Below are 12978 nucleotides of genomic sequence, written 5' to 3'. Positions count from 1 at the left end.
ATGTTCAAGAGACTTACCCTCCACCACCGAAAGCTAGTGAATCCATGTCTCCTTTGATAAAAAACATATTATCTCCTGTCCACTTAAAGACCTATATAAATTTAAAAAAAGCTTTAAATATATAGATGAAATGGTTATTATAGAGAGTTAGTTCTCCAAAACTCAAACGAGTTAACAAAGCCAAGACTGGCAGTATAAGAATAAGAACACCACAAAAAGCTCCGCACAGAAGGCTCTGGTGGTTTGGGTTTCAGTGTTTATATGACTAAATTTGAAAGCACACACTCTATCACTTAACTTTCAATTCCAATTTCTCAAAATTTTGTTAACTTTTCACACATACTTCTTTCTCCTGACTCTACAGACACCAAGAGTTGGACGGTTAATAGAAAAAATTGAGAAAGAAGTAAATGAGTTGAAAAAAAATCGGACACAAATGCCATTAACTTTTACCATTAAACAGAAATGTATGTTAATTGGATAATATTTTAACATAGGGCCAAGGCCTTTTCTTTGCATATATATTTACTGATCACAGTTCTTAAATAAACCATGACCATAATGGGTATTTATGATTTTCAGTTTCAATTTCTTTAAACAGTGAGAACTTAAAATCATTTGAGAAATCCAAGAGCAAACTAGACATGAATATTCTTAAATATCTTTTTCTAACCTTTTATGGGTGTTTTACCTAAACCTAACATAGTAGCAATTTCTAGCAACTTACTTTTATCAAGTTTTTAAAATGTGTTCATTACAGTTTTCAATAAAACTTTCTTTTAGCACTCGTTTTTCATAGTTATGTAACATTTAATTGACTACATTATTACACTTATCAGGTAGCAGTAACATAAAAAGTTTGAGAATAGGCACCACTGATGCTTAGAAAATCTGTAATAACTACAAGCTTTCAAGTAGCTGTTGCTATCAGTTGACATATTTTATGGAAGGAATGAAAAGCATTGGTTATTCTGGTGAGCTAGTTAAGTACAAATTTGCTAAAAGAATTTTTATTGTGTTACCAAATCGTTCCTATTTTCTTCATTTATTTTTATAACCAATGGTGTTGATTCCTTTTCTTGAGATTAAAATGAAGGTTTTACATGCCACACTCCAATGTGCCCGAGATACTAATATTGCACTCAATGTTTTAAGAATAGTCACACATTCACTAAAATTCATTTATACCTTTACATTTTAGATTTTATTGGCATGAGAATGTATTCAATTTGTGTTAGTCAAGCCACAGTAAAGCCACACAGGTAAAGAAAAAGAAACCAGTCAATAACTTGTTATTTAAATCCAAATAATTTATTTTTTATGCTTTCATGACTTACATCATTAAGCTTAGTCATTAAATGTTTCTGGAAATTTCACAATGACAATTTGTAAACAGAATAGTAATGATAATGTATATTCTTTACTAAGTCCATAATTTGTGTTTGGTGCCATCCCAAGTATTATATATAAATGATCCTCATTTAATTATTAAATGATCATGCCATATTTTATGATTCCTCATTCTATCTACAGGAAAGTTGAAGTTCAAAATGGTCAAAGAAAAGTTACCAGGGAGTAAAAGGCAAAGATAGGGGACAGATGCAACTTGCATGACTCCAAAGTGCATGGTTTTTTCATTTATGCCATCTCTTTCTCTTTTTTTTCCTTTAACTTTTAAGTTCAGGAGTACATGTGCAGGATGCACAGGTTTGTTACACAGGTAAACGTGTGCCACAGTGGTTTGCTGCACAGATCATCCGATCAACTAGGTATTAAGCCCAGCATCCATTAGCTATTATTTCTGATGCTCTCCTCTCCCTCCCCACACCCTCACCCTGCGACAGACACAAGGTCTGTGTTGTTCCCCTGAAATGTGTCCATGTGTTCTCATCATTCAGCTCTTTCTTATAAGTGAGAACATGTGGTGTTTAGTTTCCTGTTCCTGCATTAGTTTGCATGGTGTATATGGTGTATTCCATGGTGTATATGTACCACATTTTCTTTATCCAGTCTATCATCGATGGGCATTTAGGTTGATTCCATGTCTTTGCTATTGTGAATAGTGCTACAATGAACATTTGTGTGCATGTATCTTTATATTAGGAGGACTTACATTCCTTTGGGTAAATACCCAGTAATGGGATTTGCTGGGTCAAGTGGTATTTCTGCCTCTAGGTCTTTGAGGAATTGCCACACTGTCTTCTACAACAGTTGAACTAATTTACACTCCCACCAACAGGGTAAAAACATTCCTTTTTCAGTTGGGCGTGGTGGCTCACGCCTGTAATCCCAGCACTCTGGGAGGCCGAGGAGGGTGGATCACCTGAGGTCAGGAGTTCGAGACCAGCCTGGCCAACATGGCAAAACCCCGTCTCTACTAAAAATACAAAAATTAGCCAGGCATGGTGTGTACACCTGTAATCCCAGCTACTTGGGAGGCTGAGGCAGGAGAATTGCTTGAACCTGGAAGGCAAAGGCTGCACTGAGCTGAGATCATGCCACTGCACTCCAGCCTGGGCGACACAGCAAGACTCTGCCTCAAAAACAACAACAACAACAACAAAATAAAACATTCCTTTTTCTCTGCAACCTTGCCAGCATCTGTTATTTGACTTTTTAATAATAGCCATTCTGACTGGAGTGAGATGGTACCTCATTGTGGTTTTGATATGCATTTCTCTAATGATCAGTGATGTTGAGCTTTATTTCACAGGTTTTTTTGGCCACATGTATGTCTTCTTTTGAAAAGTGTCTTTGCCCACTTTTCAATGGTGTTTTTTTTCTTGCAAATTTGCTTAAGTTCCTTGTAGATTCTGGATATTAGACCTTTGTCAGATGGATAGATTGCAAAAATTTTCTCCTATTCTGTAGGCTGTCTGTTCACTCTGATGATAGTTTATTTTGCTGTACAGAAGCTCTTTAATTAGATCCCATTTGCCAATTTTTGCTTCTGTTGCAACTGCTTTTGGCATTGTTGTCATGAAATCTTTGCCCGTATCTATGTCCTAAATGGTATTGCCTAGATTTTCTTCTAGGGTTTTTATAATTTTGGGTTGTACATTTAAGTCTCTATCCCATCTTGAGTTAATGTTTGTATATGGTTTACGGAAGGGGTTCAGTTTCAATTTTCTGCACATAGCTAGCCAGTTCTCCCAGCACAATTTATTAAATAGGGAATCCTTTCCCTATTGCTTATTTTTGTCAGGTTTGTCAAAGATCAGATGGTTACAGGTGTGAGGTCTTATTTCTGAGTTCTCTATTCTGTTCCATTGGTCTATGTGTCTGTTCTTATACCAGTACCATGCTATTTTGGTTACTGTAGCCTTGTAGTATACTTTGAAGTCACGTAACGTGATGCCTCCAGCTTTGTTCTTTATGCTTAGCATTCTCTTGGCTATTTGGGCTCTTTTTGGGTTCCACATGAACTTTAAAATAGTTTTTCCTAATTCTGTGAAGAATATCAGTGGTAGTTTAATGGGAATAGCACTGAATCTATAAATTGCTTTGGGCAGTATGTTATGTCAACTCTTTATAAATAAAATATTGAAATAGTGGTTCTTACCTCAAACTCCGGACAGAATGTAAAAACAAAGGTCTCTCCAGTACCATAAAAGCCATCACTCACTTTCAGTGGCTCAGATGCTAACGCACCAAAAACCTAAGGATAAAAAAGGCATATTCAATGACACGACTAACAAATTTATTCCAGTAAGCATTATTTCATCATATATGTTTAAATAAAATGCAAAAAATAGAAATCTGGTATAGTTTAATCTAATCATACTTAAAAAGGGAAAAATGGTTAGCTGCTATATAATTTACATTATTGTCAAATATGAAGTATATTGGTTTTTCAATGGAAATACAGATTTTTTCCTAGTTTTTAAATTTTGGGATTTTATTTAAAGTAATTAAGCAGACAATCTTAAAAAGTGGTTAACACATTTCAGGACGACTTATATGTACAATGTATGTATGATATGGATAACATGATGCTATGGGATTGCGGTGCTTAATAAAATAAGTCCTTCAGTATAGGGAAACATTCTATCACTTTTAAAATATGATATTTTTTCTTTATCATTATACAGTAAATTCCATGAGGGCAGGTGTTATGTGTGAATTGTTTTGTCCTTTAACCCTGTGCATGATCTTATACAAGACACACAGTACCCTAATGAGAAAATTGATGAATAAGAGATTGACCAAGTAATTTCAGTGTTATGGGCTGAAGTTTCCACATCAGAAATGGGAGTGCAGAGAGTCTGACAGATAATCTGTACAGTCACTGTCTATCCTGACATTCTATCTTTATAGTCTTAATTTTGAAAATATTTCCTTATTGAAAGGTTATTTTACATATACATTATAGAAAAGTACACAAAACATAAACACATAGCTCAGTTTAGAACTATCACATGGCAAAGTCCCATGCAACATTCATTCAGACCAAGAAACAGAACACTACTAGTTCTAGAAGCTCTCTTTGTGCTTCCTCTCATCAATAGTCTCAACTACCTGAAGGAGTTACTAGCCTAATACCACTATAGATTCATTTGGCCCACTGATAAAACTTTCTATAAATGAAATCATAAGAAAGTTACTCTCTGGTGTTTGATTTCTAATTCAATATTATGTTTGTGACATTCATTTATGCCATGGCATGTAGCAGCAGTTCATTCATTTTCATTGGTGCAAATACTTTTTCTTGGGTATGTAACCTTGGGCAAGTTGATGAGCTTATGTCATAGTTGACTCATTCTTTAATATAAAGATAACAGTATCAATCTCATAGGGCTTTCATGATTAAATAACATAATGCATAAGTGATTAGTCAAGTTCCTGACACATAAAACACTAAAAGTGTTAGTAATACCAGTGTTTTGTTCTAATATTGCTATTTTACCTTCTCATTAGTTTCCAATTACAACTGACTTGAACTTGCTGTTTGAAGAACAAACCAATATTACTCTTATTTGTGCTTTTGTTCTGGCTATCACCTTCAAACAATTATCTTTAATCAAAACTTCACCCATTATTCAAGATTCTGTCAATTTCTACCTTTCCCATGAACCTCATTCTTATTTCCTCACTTTTTCTAGGTTCTAAGAAACCTACCATTTTCCCCACCATTAGAGATGTTGGTATGTGCAAATGTTCTTTTCTACCACTCTATAATCCCTTTGAAGGCAGTAATTCTTAATCATCATGCTCATATCTATCCTCTGTAATACTCAACATTGCCTTGCATATTAAAAGTACCCAGTAATTATCAGTTAAACAATAAAATGCACTAATAAAGTAATGTTTATCAAATAAATATGCTAAAAGTTACTGTTACTGCTCTTAAAGGATAAGCAATCTATGCAGTTGGTGTTTCATACCTGTCCATCACTGTCTTTAATCACCATCAGCACTGGGGTGTCTAAACCTGTCATTGTTCGATAAAGAGTTTTCAAGCTTGTGCCATGTTTTCCAGTACCATAAACAAGAGTCCATGGATAGCCAATTGTTCTTGGTGGAAGATGCTTGGTAAGCTTTAGAAAACAAAGTGTTAGTATTTACTTGATAGCTTGTTGTTCATTATGTAGAATACTAATGCCAGCTGGAATGTAATGGTGCCTATATAATATAGGCTATAAAAATAAATTAACAGTAGAAATTATTATTCTCAAAGATACTAAGATGATTGAAAAGTATTACACATTTCTCAGAATAAAATATTAATTGTCTATTAGGAAAATAAAGAATCACCCTGAACCAGACACAGATTAGAACAGAGATAAGAAACATAGATTACTTAATGCTTTTGCCTTCCATATTGAATTAACAAAAATACTTGATAGACTATTAGCTTGATTATTAAAATATCTCTTAAATAATAGGCTAGGGAGACAGACTATCCAAGTTAGGAATCAAGCTTTAATACTTCTCCCTGTGTGACCTTGAACAAGTTAATCGCTCTGTGCTCCCGATTTTTTAACTTAATAAAAAATGTGCATAATAAGAGCATCCAATTTCTACAGCTGTTGTAACAACTACATGAAATAATCCACATAAAGCAAGTAACAAGCACACAACAATAAAACAAATATTGGCTTTTAGTGTCTGCTTACCTAAATCTCCTAACATCTTAATTAACACTAGTTGCTATGTTTTGCTTACTCTTTCTTTTCACTGGAGTGGAATAGTAATAGCATTAACGCTGTTGCTTCAGAAACAACTAAAAAGAGGCTGTTTTACTCTCATGGGTACACACTCACACTCAGAAATGCACATATGTGAGCATGTCATACCTTTTCAATTTGATCTGGCAGTAAAAGTTCACTGGGATCACTTAGGTTTGGTCGAAAAGATTCAGACTCCAGGTCTGCTTTCACTGTAGCAACCTGCTTTGAATTTATGTCTTCCCTTGTAGTAATCTAAAACAGTAAATAGAGGTAGTGCATTAATGTAAACTTGTGACATGCTTTCAAAATTGTCAGACTTTTCAGATAAATAAAGCTTTATATCGTAGAAAATGTGGCTAAATCTTTAACCTTAAGATTTTATAGGGCAAAAGATGGCCCATATCTAATATCTATGATGTAGCCAATGTAGGAAAAGATTTTATAACAATATAAGCAGACGTTTTCTCATCCACTACATGAGGAACGACTGGTAGGAATGATAAATCCCCATATTTCTGTGTAAAGAAGATAGTTGCATGCATCTTTAATTAAGCCCTTGAAGGGCAAAAGTCAGCTAGCTGGCTTGCGCTGTGTGTGTGTGTGTGTGTGTGTGTGTGTGTGTGTGTGTGTGTGTATGCTATTTAAAATAGAATTCTTTCATGCTAACACAAAATTTGTCAAAAATAATGAACAAAACTTCCTGGGTGCCAAAATTTTAATGTAAAGAATAGTAGAATAAAAAAAAATAACTATTTTCTGTGAGTTGTGCATGTATTTGTTTCACTGACAAACGTTACCATTTTTTTAAATGCTTTCTTTTTATAACTTTCTAAACATTTAATTTTTTTCATCTACTTGGACCAAACAATAAATTTTACTGTTAATTTGTTCATAAATTTATTTTTTAAATTAGATTAATGTGTTGCATTACAAAGAATACATGCTTTTTTGCTTGGTGGAAATGATTTCACTGGTATTCTTAAAACGATAAGAATGTTAACTAAGTAAAAATAAAGCTTACTACTGCACAATATATTCTATTGGTGCTTACTTTTTAATATTAATTTTATTTTAATATATAAAACATAATAATATTAGAAAATAAAAGAAATGAAACATTATGAAACTTTTAAATTGGAAAATATGCAGAATTCTATTGGAGCAGATAACTAAAATGCAGCAACGCTCAGCAACTGTGATTCTATATGGGAATGAAATTCTTGCTAAATTATTTTGTTCCTTTAACAGGTTTCTTAACAAACCTGAGCAGCATATATTTGCAACCAATACATGTTCTATAAGTGTATTGTTTTTTGACAAGAAGCTAAATACTCATTCTTTCATATCATCATGTTTCACCCTTATTTTGATGATGTGAAAGGTAAAAAGAAAAAGAAAAAGAAACCCAAGGCAGCATTAGAAGCATTAAAAGAAAAAATTCAGGTCTAGCAGAGCCATGAAAGCATATCTTATTAAGAAGAAAGAAACACAGTATAATAGACACAACTTAAAAATGAGTTTTCAATTACATTGCTTTCTTGTTTCTAAAAAAAAAATCACAAAGATTATTTCACAGAATTTTAAGTAATTTATCCAGTTCTGTGTCTAAACTGTACTATTCCAATGTACTCCTAATACCAACCAAGAATGCCTCAAGAACAGTTTATCCTATTGAGATATTTGATGTGACGCTGATATAAATGAAATAGCCTTAAATAAAATATTTAAGCCTTGCTATTAAATTTTTTATTAGTTTTCCTATAGTACCATATCTTTCAGATTTTGTTTAGAAAAGATTCAATCTCAAAACCAACACCATTCTTCCAACGTTAAATGAATGAAAACTCCTCATCGCTGAAAGAAACACACAATACTGAGAATAATTCTGAAGTGACAGAACATTCTTCAGAATATTTTTCAAATGAAAAGATGACAGAAAAGATAATCCACAGCTCTTCACGGCAATACTATAACCTTTAATACAAAAAGGAATTTAATTTTAGTGCTGCAGTCAAAGCAAATTCTTCAAATGAGATTTGCCATGACAAAGAACACTAAAAACAGGGAGTATTTAGTCTCTGGAGGGGTTTAAACTACTGAAGGGGGCACCTGGAGGCGTCTGCAGAGTGTGCGCAGTTCTTCAGTATTTAGAGCATCGATCCTGCGGTGATACTCAGCCACTGACACTACCTAAATATGGAGACAGGAAGACAATAATTCCACTGACAGTTGAGAAAAACAGCAAAAAAAAAAAAAAAAAAAAAAAAAAGAGGAGAAATTAAAATGGGAAGAGAACTGTAATTAGGATTTCTTCCCCACTCTATGTTGAAAATCCAAGAGATTTATATATCAAACTAGAGTGAAATATCCATGAATGATTTTCACTACTACATCCAACTAGTTGGTATGTAAGGTTTATTTTATGGACTATTCCATATAGATTCAACTTAGTAAATAGAAATTATAGTTTTTTATACAGAAAACACTATATAAAACACATACTTTGCTAACATTAAAGATAACGTCTGAAAACTAAACGGTCTTGCAGTTACAAAGGAAGTGGTAGTTTCAACTACCCCCTCCAAATCAGGTGAGCTCAAACATTATATCCTAATGGCCATGCTGGAAGAATTTCTTCTAGGCACAGGTGACAAACATACCCATCTATAACAGAAACAACAGAGGAGAGAAGAGCAAGAAAACAATATAGAAGTACATTTTAAAACCTATGGCAATAAGAAAAATAAGCTCTAGAAAGTAGAAAATTAGATTTTCAAAAGTATGTCTAATCAAAAGTACCTTCTAAGTATGTCTGCTTCAGCCCTTTAAATGACTTTTTTTTTCCACTTTTTGCCTCTCTCCTGTTTTATTTCTTTATGGTTTTTACTGTATCATTTATTTGTGACTAAAATTTAACAACTTTCCTACATTTTAACTTTCAAAGGAAAACTTTCTATCTTCTATAATTGCCTAGACCAGGCTCTTGCACAGTATTAAATTTGAAAGCCATAAATGACAGATAAACACTATTACAGAAAGCCCACAAAAACAGGTAAGTTTCCTCAGGTTGACATAATAGTTACAGCTTTTTCAGATCATGACATAATTCTAAAAACAGTTACCATACTACAGTGAACGCTAATGGTGTGATAAATATGTGACGATTCTCTTGAGCTATGACTAGTTCCTCTTGTAATCAATCAAAAATGCACAGAGGCTCTGACCACAAAATGAGTTAATCCAACTGGCTCATAAAGAGTTTAGATTTTGAACCTAGGTTTTAAAGGCTTTTTATTTAGCCAACTAAAAGGAACTGGCTACCAGTAAACATTAAGGTAACTATGAAAAGCTATGTAAACTTGTTGAAAGTTCTGAAAGACATGAGAATAGAAAAAAGGAAAAGAGGCTGGACAGATTTCCATTCTGGCCATTATTATTATATTGAATTTTGTGAAGCAACAAAGCATACAATATGTTAGCTGACTCTGTACTTAGAAACCAGAAGCTGTTATTCTCTCTAGCTCTGGGGGCGGATGGGGGGGGGTGTCAGATAAACCTGGGTTCCCCATTGCCTATCAATTTTGTTATAAAACAATGAAAATAGTAAAAGTGCATATCAAATCTGGTTTTATGTGAATTACTGAGGAAATGCATATTAAGGACTGAGTATAGTGCCCAGAACATATTAATGAGAACTACTATTATTCATATGACTTTTACTTGATTACTTTTCACCAATTACCCTGGAGACTAAATGATAATGGCCAAAGAGCCTCCTTATTAATTTTTGGTTTTTATTTTTGAATGAGAATATTTCAGGTTTGACATCTCAACTATTTTTAACATTTTGATTATTCTGAATTTAATTTTTATATTTCAGTATTAGATAAAAATAATGAAGGACTTTCAATTAAGAACAATAGGATTTCAATAAAGATAAAAGAAAAATTAGGTACTAAAAATAAAAAACATCATGGGCTTGCTTTTCTATGCCCAGCAAAACAGGTCTCTAGAAATATTTAATGGCCAATTATATTTTTCTTTCTTTTTTCATGGCCTTCAATCCAATAGTCTCCTAGACAAGGATTGTCAAAAATAACTTATCTAATTCTCTGCTTTCCTTCTATCCCTCCAGTTAACAATTATCTTATATCTATATTCTAAAACTCCTTCATTTACTATAAGAAAAACACTTCCTGGGTGGAAGTGAAATTAAATTATGCTTACAAAAGAGATCAGTCATAACCTAATTGTATCAGCATTGCTGAGAGTAGGAGTTACTAATAAGAGAACAATAAATCGCCATAAGGCTAAGCTTATCTTAATAACACTTGATAAAGTCATAGTTTCTTTCATGTCACAAATCTACTCTTTCAAATTTATTTTTTTCAATTATATTTTTTTCTAGGACTTAAAAACTTTCTGCTTCCTTAACCTTAAACATTTACTCATGCCCTGATGGGTGAGGATACAGAAAACTGTAAGAAAAAAAAAAAAGTCTGTGAGTTAATAGAAAAAAGAGATTTGAATTTGAGTACAGAAATATACTTCCTTCTCTCAAAATAAAGGGATAAAAGAGCTATATATTCCCAGTATATATGAGGAAACTGGAATTACTCTTACATTAATTTTAAACCCTTGGTAAACCATACTCCATGTATACAATTTATTACTTTACCCAAAAGATTAAACCTAAATAAAAAATGAATACATTTCTCCAAAATATCCCTTATCACGCTCTGAATTATTAGGAGTAAACAGTTGAGAAAACCAAGACCTTCCAATTAAAAGTGCATTCACTGGCTAAAAAATCGTTTCTTAAGGAATAAAGTATTTGGATATACTGCTAACTCCTATCTATAGGAACTAAGTACCATGACCTATACTCTGCAGAATTAAATGCCACTCTCTAGTCTTTTCAGTCTTTGACAAAGGACCCTCACAAAGAGAAAGTATTTTCCTAAGCCTTTACTTCTACAGAATTACCAATGGAAAGGCAGGGGTAAATCCACCCATCACTATTACAAATGGACTAACAAAAACAGAGACTAGAGAAAATTCACAGTTGCTGCCAATCCCATGATTAAGAACACGTTCATCTCTTAGATATAAAGAACAATACCTTATGGACGTTCCAGTGTTTCCCCAAGATTACTCCAAAACAAACCCCAAATCTCCCTTTCTTCAATGTCTTGCACACTAACAAAAATCTGCTAGTTATATGTCAATGTGCCATTTTTACTACTTTCTCAGTAAATGGAAATGCAAGAGAAAAAGAAATACTATCTAATCAATGCCACTTACACTTACTTTGGTCTCAAAAAATATGTTAAAGAAGGAAATATAATTCTGAGCTTCTGTATCAAACAAAAAGAGCATACAACAGCATCCTTGAAGTCACATAAGCCGTTGTTCTACTATATCTCATCATATATTAACAGTCTTTATTACAAAATAAGACCTGAATTATGTTAAACTTTGCCCCATTTTGCCCAAATTAAAACTACTGCTTTCAAAATAACATTCCAGTTTGAGAACAGCCGGGGCAACATGGAGAAATCTCGTCTCTACAAAAAAATACAAAAAATTAGCCGGGCCTGGTGGCGTGGAAGGATCACCTGAGCCCAGCAGGTTGAGGCTGCAGTGAGCCAAGATCAAGCCACTGCACTCCATCCTGGGCAACAGAGCAAAATCCTGTCTTAAAAAAAAAAAAAAAAAAATCCAGAATTAATTCTATTAGTGAAGTTTGATTTGAAAAAATCTGCATTTAAAATCACTTCCTGTCTTTCATCAATACTGGGAAAAGGAAAAAAAAGGGAAGGAAGAGGGGAGGGAGCCATATCCCCATATCCTTTTTTTTTTCTTTTCTTTTTTTTTTTTTTTTGAGACGGAGTCTCCCTCTGTCACTCAGGCTGGAGTGCAGTGGCACAATCTCGGCTCACTGCAATCTCTGCCTCCTGGGTTCAAGTGATTCTTCTGCCTCAGTCTCCCAAGTAGCTGGGACTACAGATGTGTGCTGGGACTACAGGTGTGTGCCACCACGCACGGCTAATTTTTGTATTTTTTGTAGAGACGGGGTTTCACCATGTAAACTATACTAAAAAAAATGTGTATTACAAATTCTAGAGGAACCATTTAAAAAAGTTTTTTAAAAAAGTATAACTGAGATGCTAAGAGATGAAAGAATATGGAATCAAATTAAATCTGAAGCACAGGAAAATAAAATTAGAGCAGAAATCAATAGATTAAAAACAAAATCAATAGAAAAACAGCAATGGAACCAGAAGCCAATTTTGTAATCTTTCAGAAGGTCAATAAAATTGATAAACCTCTACCTCTAGCCAGGATAGATGAGAGTGAGAGAATAAATATCAGAAATGAAGAGGGGCCATCATTACTGATCCCATGGATATTAAAAGAATAATGAAGAAATACTATAAACTGTACACTCACTAATTTGATAATCTAGATAAAGCAAACCAATTCCTTGAAAGACACAAACCACCAAAAGTCACACAAGAAGAAACAGATAATGCATGCCTATTATCTCAGCTACTCAGGAGGCTGAGGTGAGAGGATCACTTGAGCCTATGAGTTCAAGACCAGCCCAGGGAACATAGCAAAACTCCAACTCAAAAAAAGAAAGAAAGATATGTATTTAAATAATTAATCAATAATTAATAACCTCCTAAAACAGAAAGCACAAGGCCCAGATAGACTCACTGATGAATACTACCAAACATTTACGAAGAAATTATACAAACTCTCCACAATCTCTTCCAGAAAACAGAAGCGGAGGGAATACTTC

The 12978-nt window shown here is 33.5% G+C and overlaps 1 protein-coding gene across 19 annotated transcripts in view, besides 1 other annotated feature; it reads right to left on the bottom strand.

Annotated features, from left to right (window-relative positions):
• The window catches only part of OXR1 (oxidation resistance 1), a 482517-nt gene that overhangs the window by 6815 nt on the left and 462724 nt on the right, over positions 1-12978 (bottom strand). For 9 of the 19 annotated variants that reach the window (NM_001198533.2, NM_001198532.1, XM_017013591.2 and 6 more), the window contains 5 exons: positions 8280-8360; positions 6297-6422; positions 5385-5537; positions 3563-3658; positions 18-91 (listed from right to left, as the gene is read on the bottom strand). In NM_001198533.2, coding sequence (NP_001185462.1) covers positions 18-91; positions 3563-3658; positions 5385-5537; positions 6297-6422; positions 8280-8360 — 530 coding nt within the window. Of the gene's footprint in view, positions 1-17; positions 92-3562; positions 3659-5384; positions 5538-6296; positions 6423-8279; positions 8361-12978 lie in introns of those variants that run through there. The other 10 variants (NM_018002.3, XM_006716595.3, XM_047421919.1 and 7 more) reach the window with 3 other exon arrangements.
• Positions 365-414: an enhancer, noted in NCBI's record as "active region_27803". NCBI's record gives its function as "activates an Ori minimal core promoter by ATAC-STARR-seq in GM12878 lymphoblastoid cells {active_cell/tissue: GM12878}" and the evidence as "EXISTENCE:reporter gene assay evidence [ECO:0000049][PMID:35858748]".

Source organism: Homo sapiens, chromosome 8, assembly GCF_000001405.40.
Source record: "Homo sapiens chromosome 8, GRCh38.p14 Primary Assembly".
NCBI lineage: Eukaryota > Metazoa > Chordata > Mammalia > Primates > Hominidae > Homo > Homo sapiens.
Note: the sequence above shows the minus strand (reverse complement) of the source record. Positions and strands in the feature narration are given on the sequence as shown.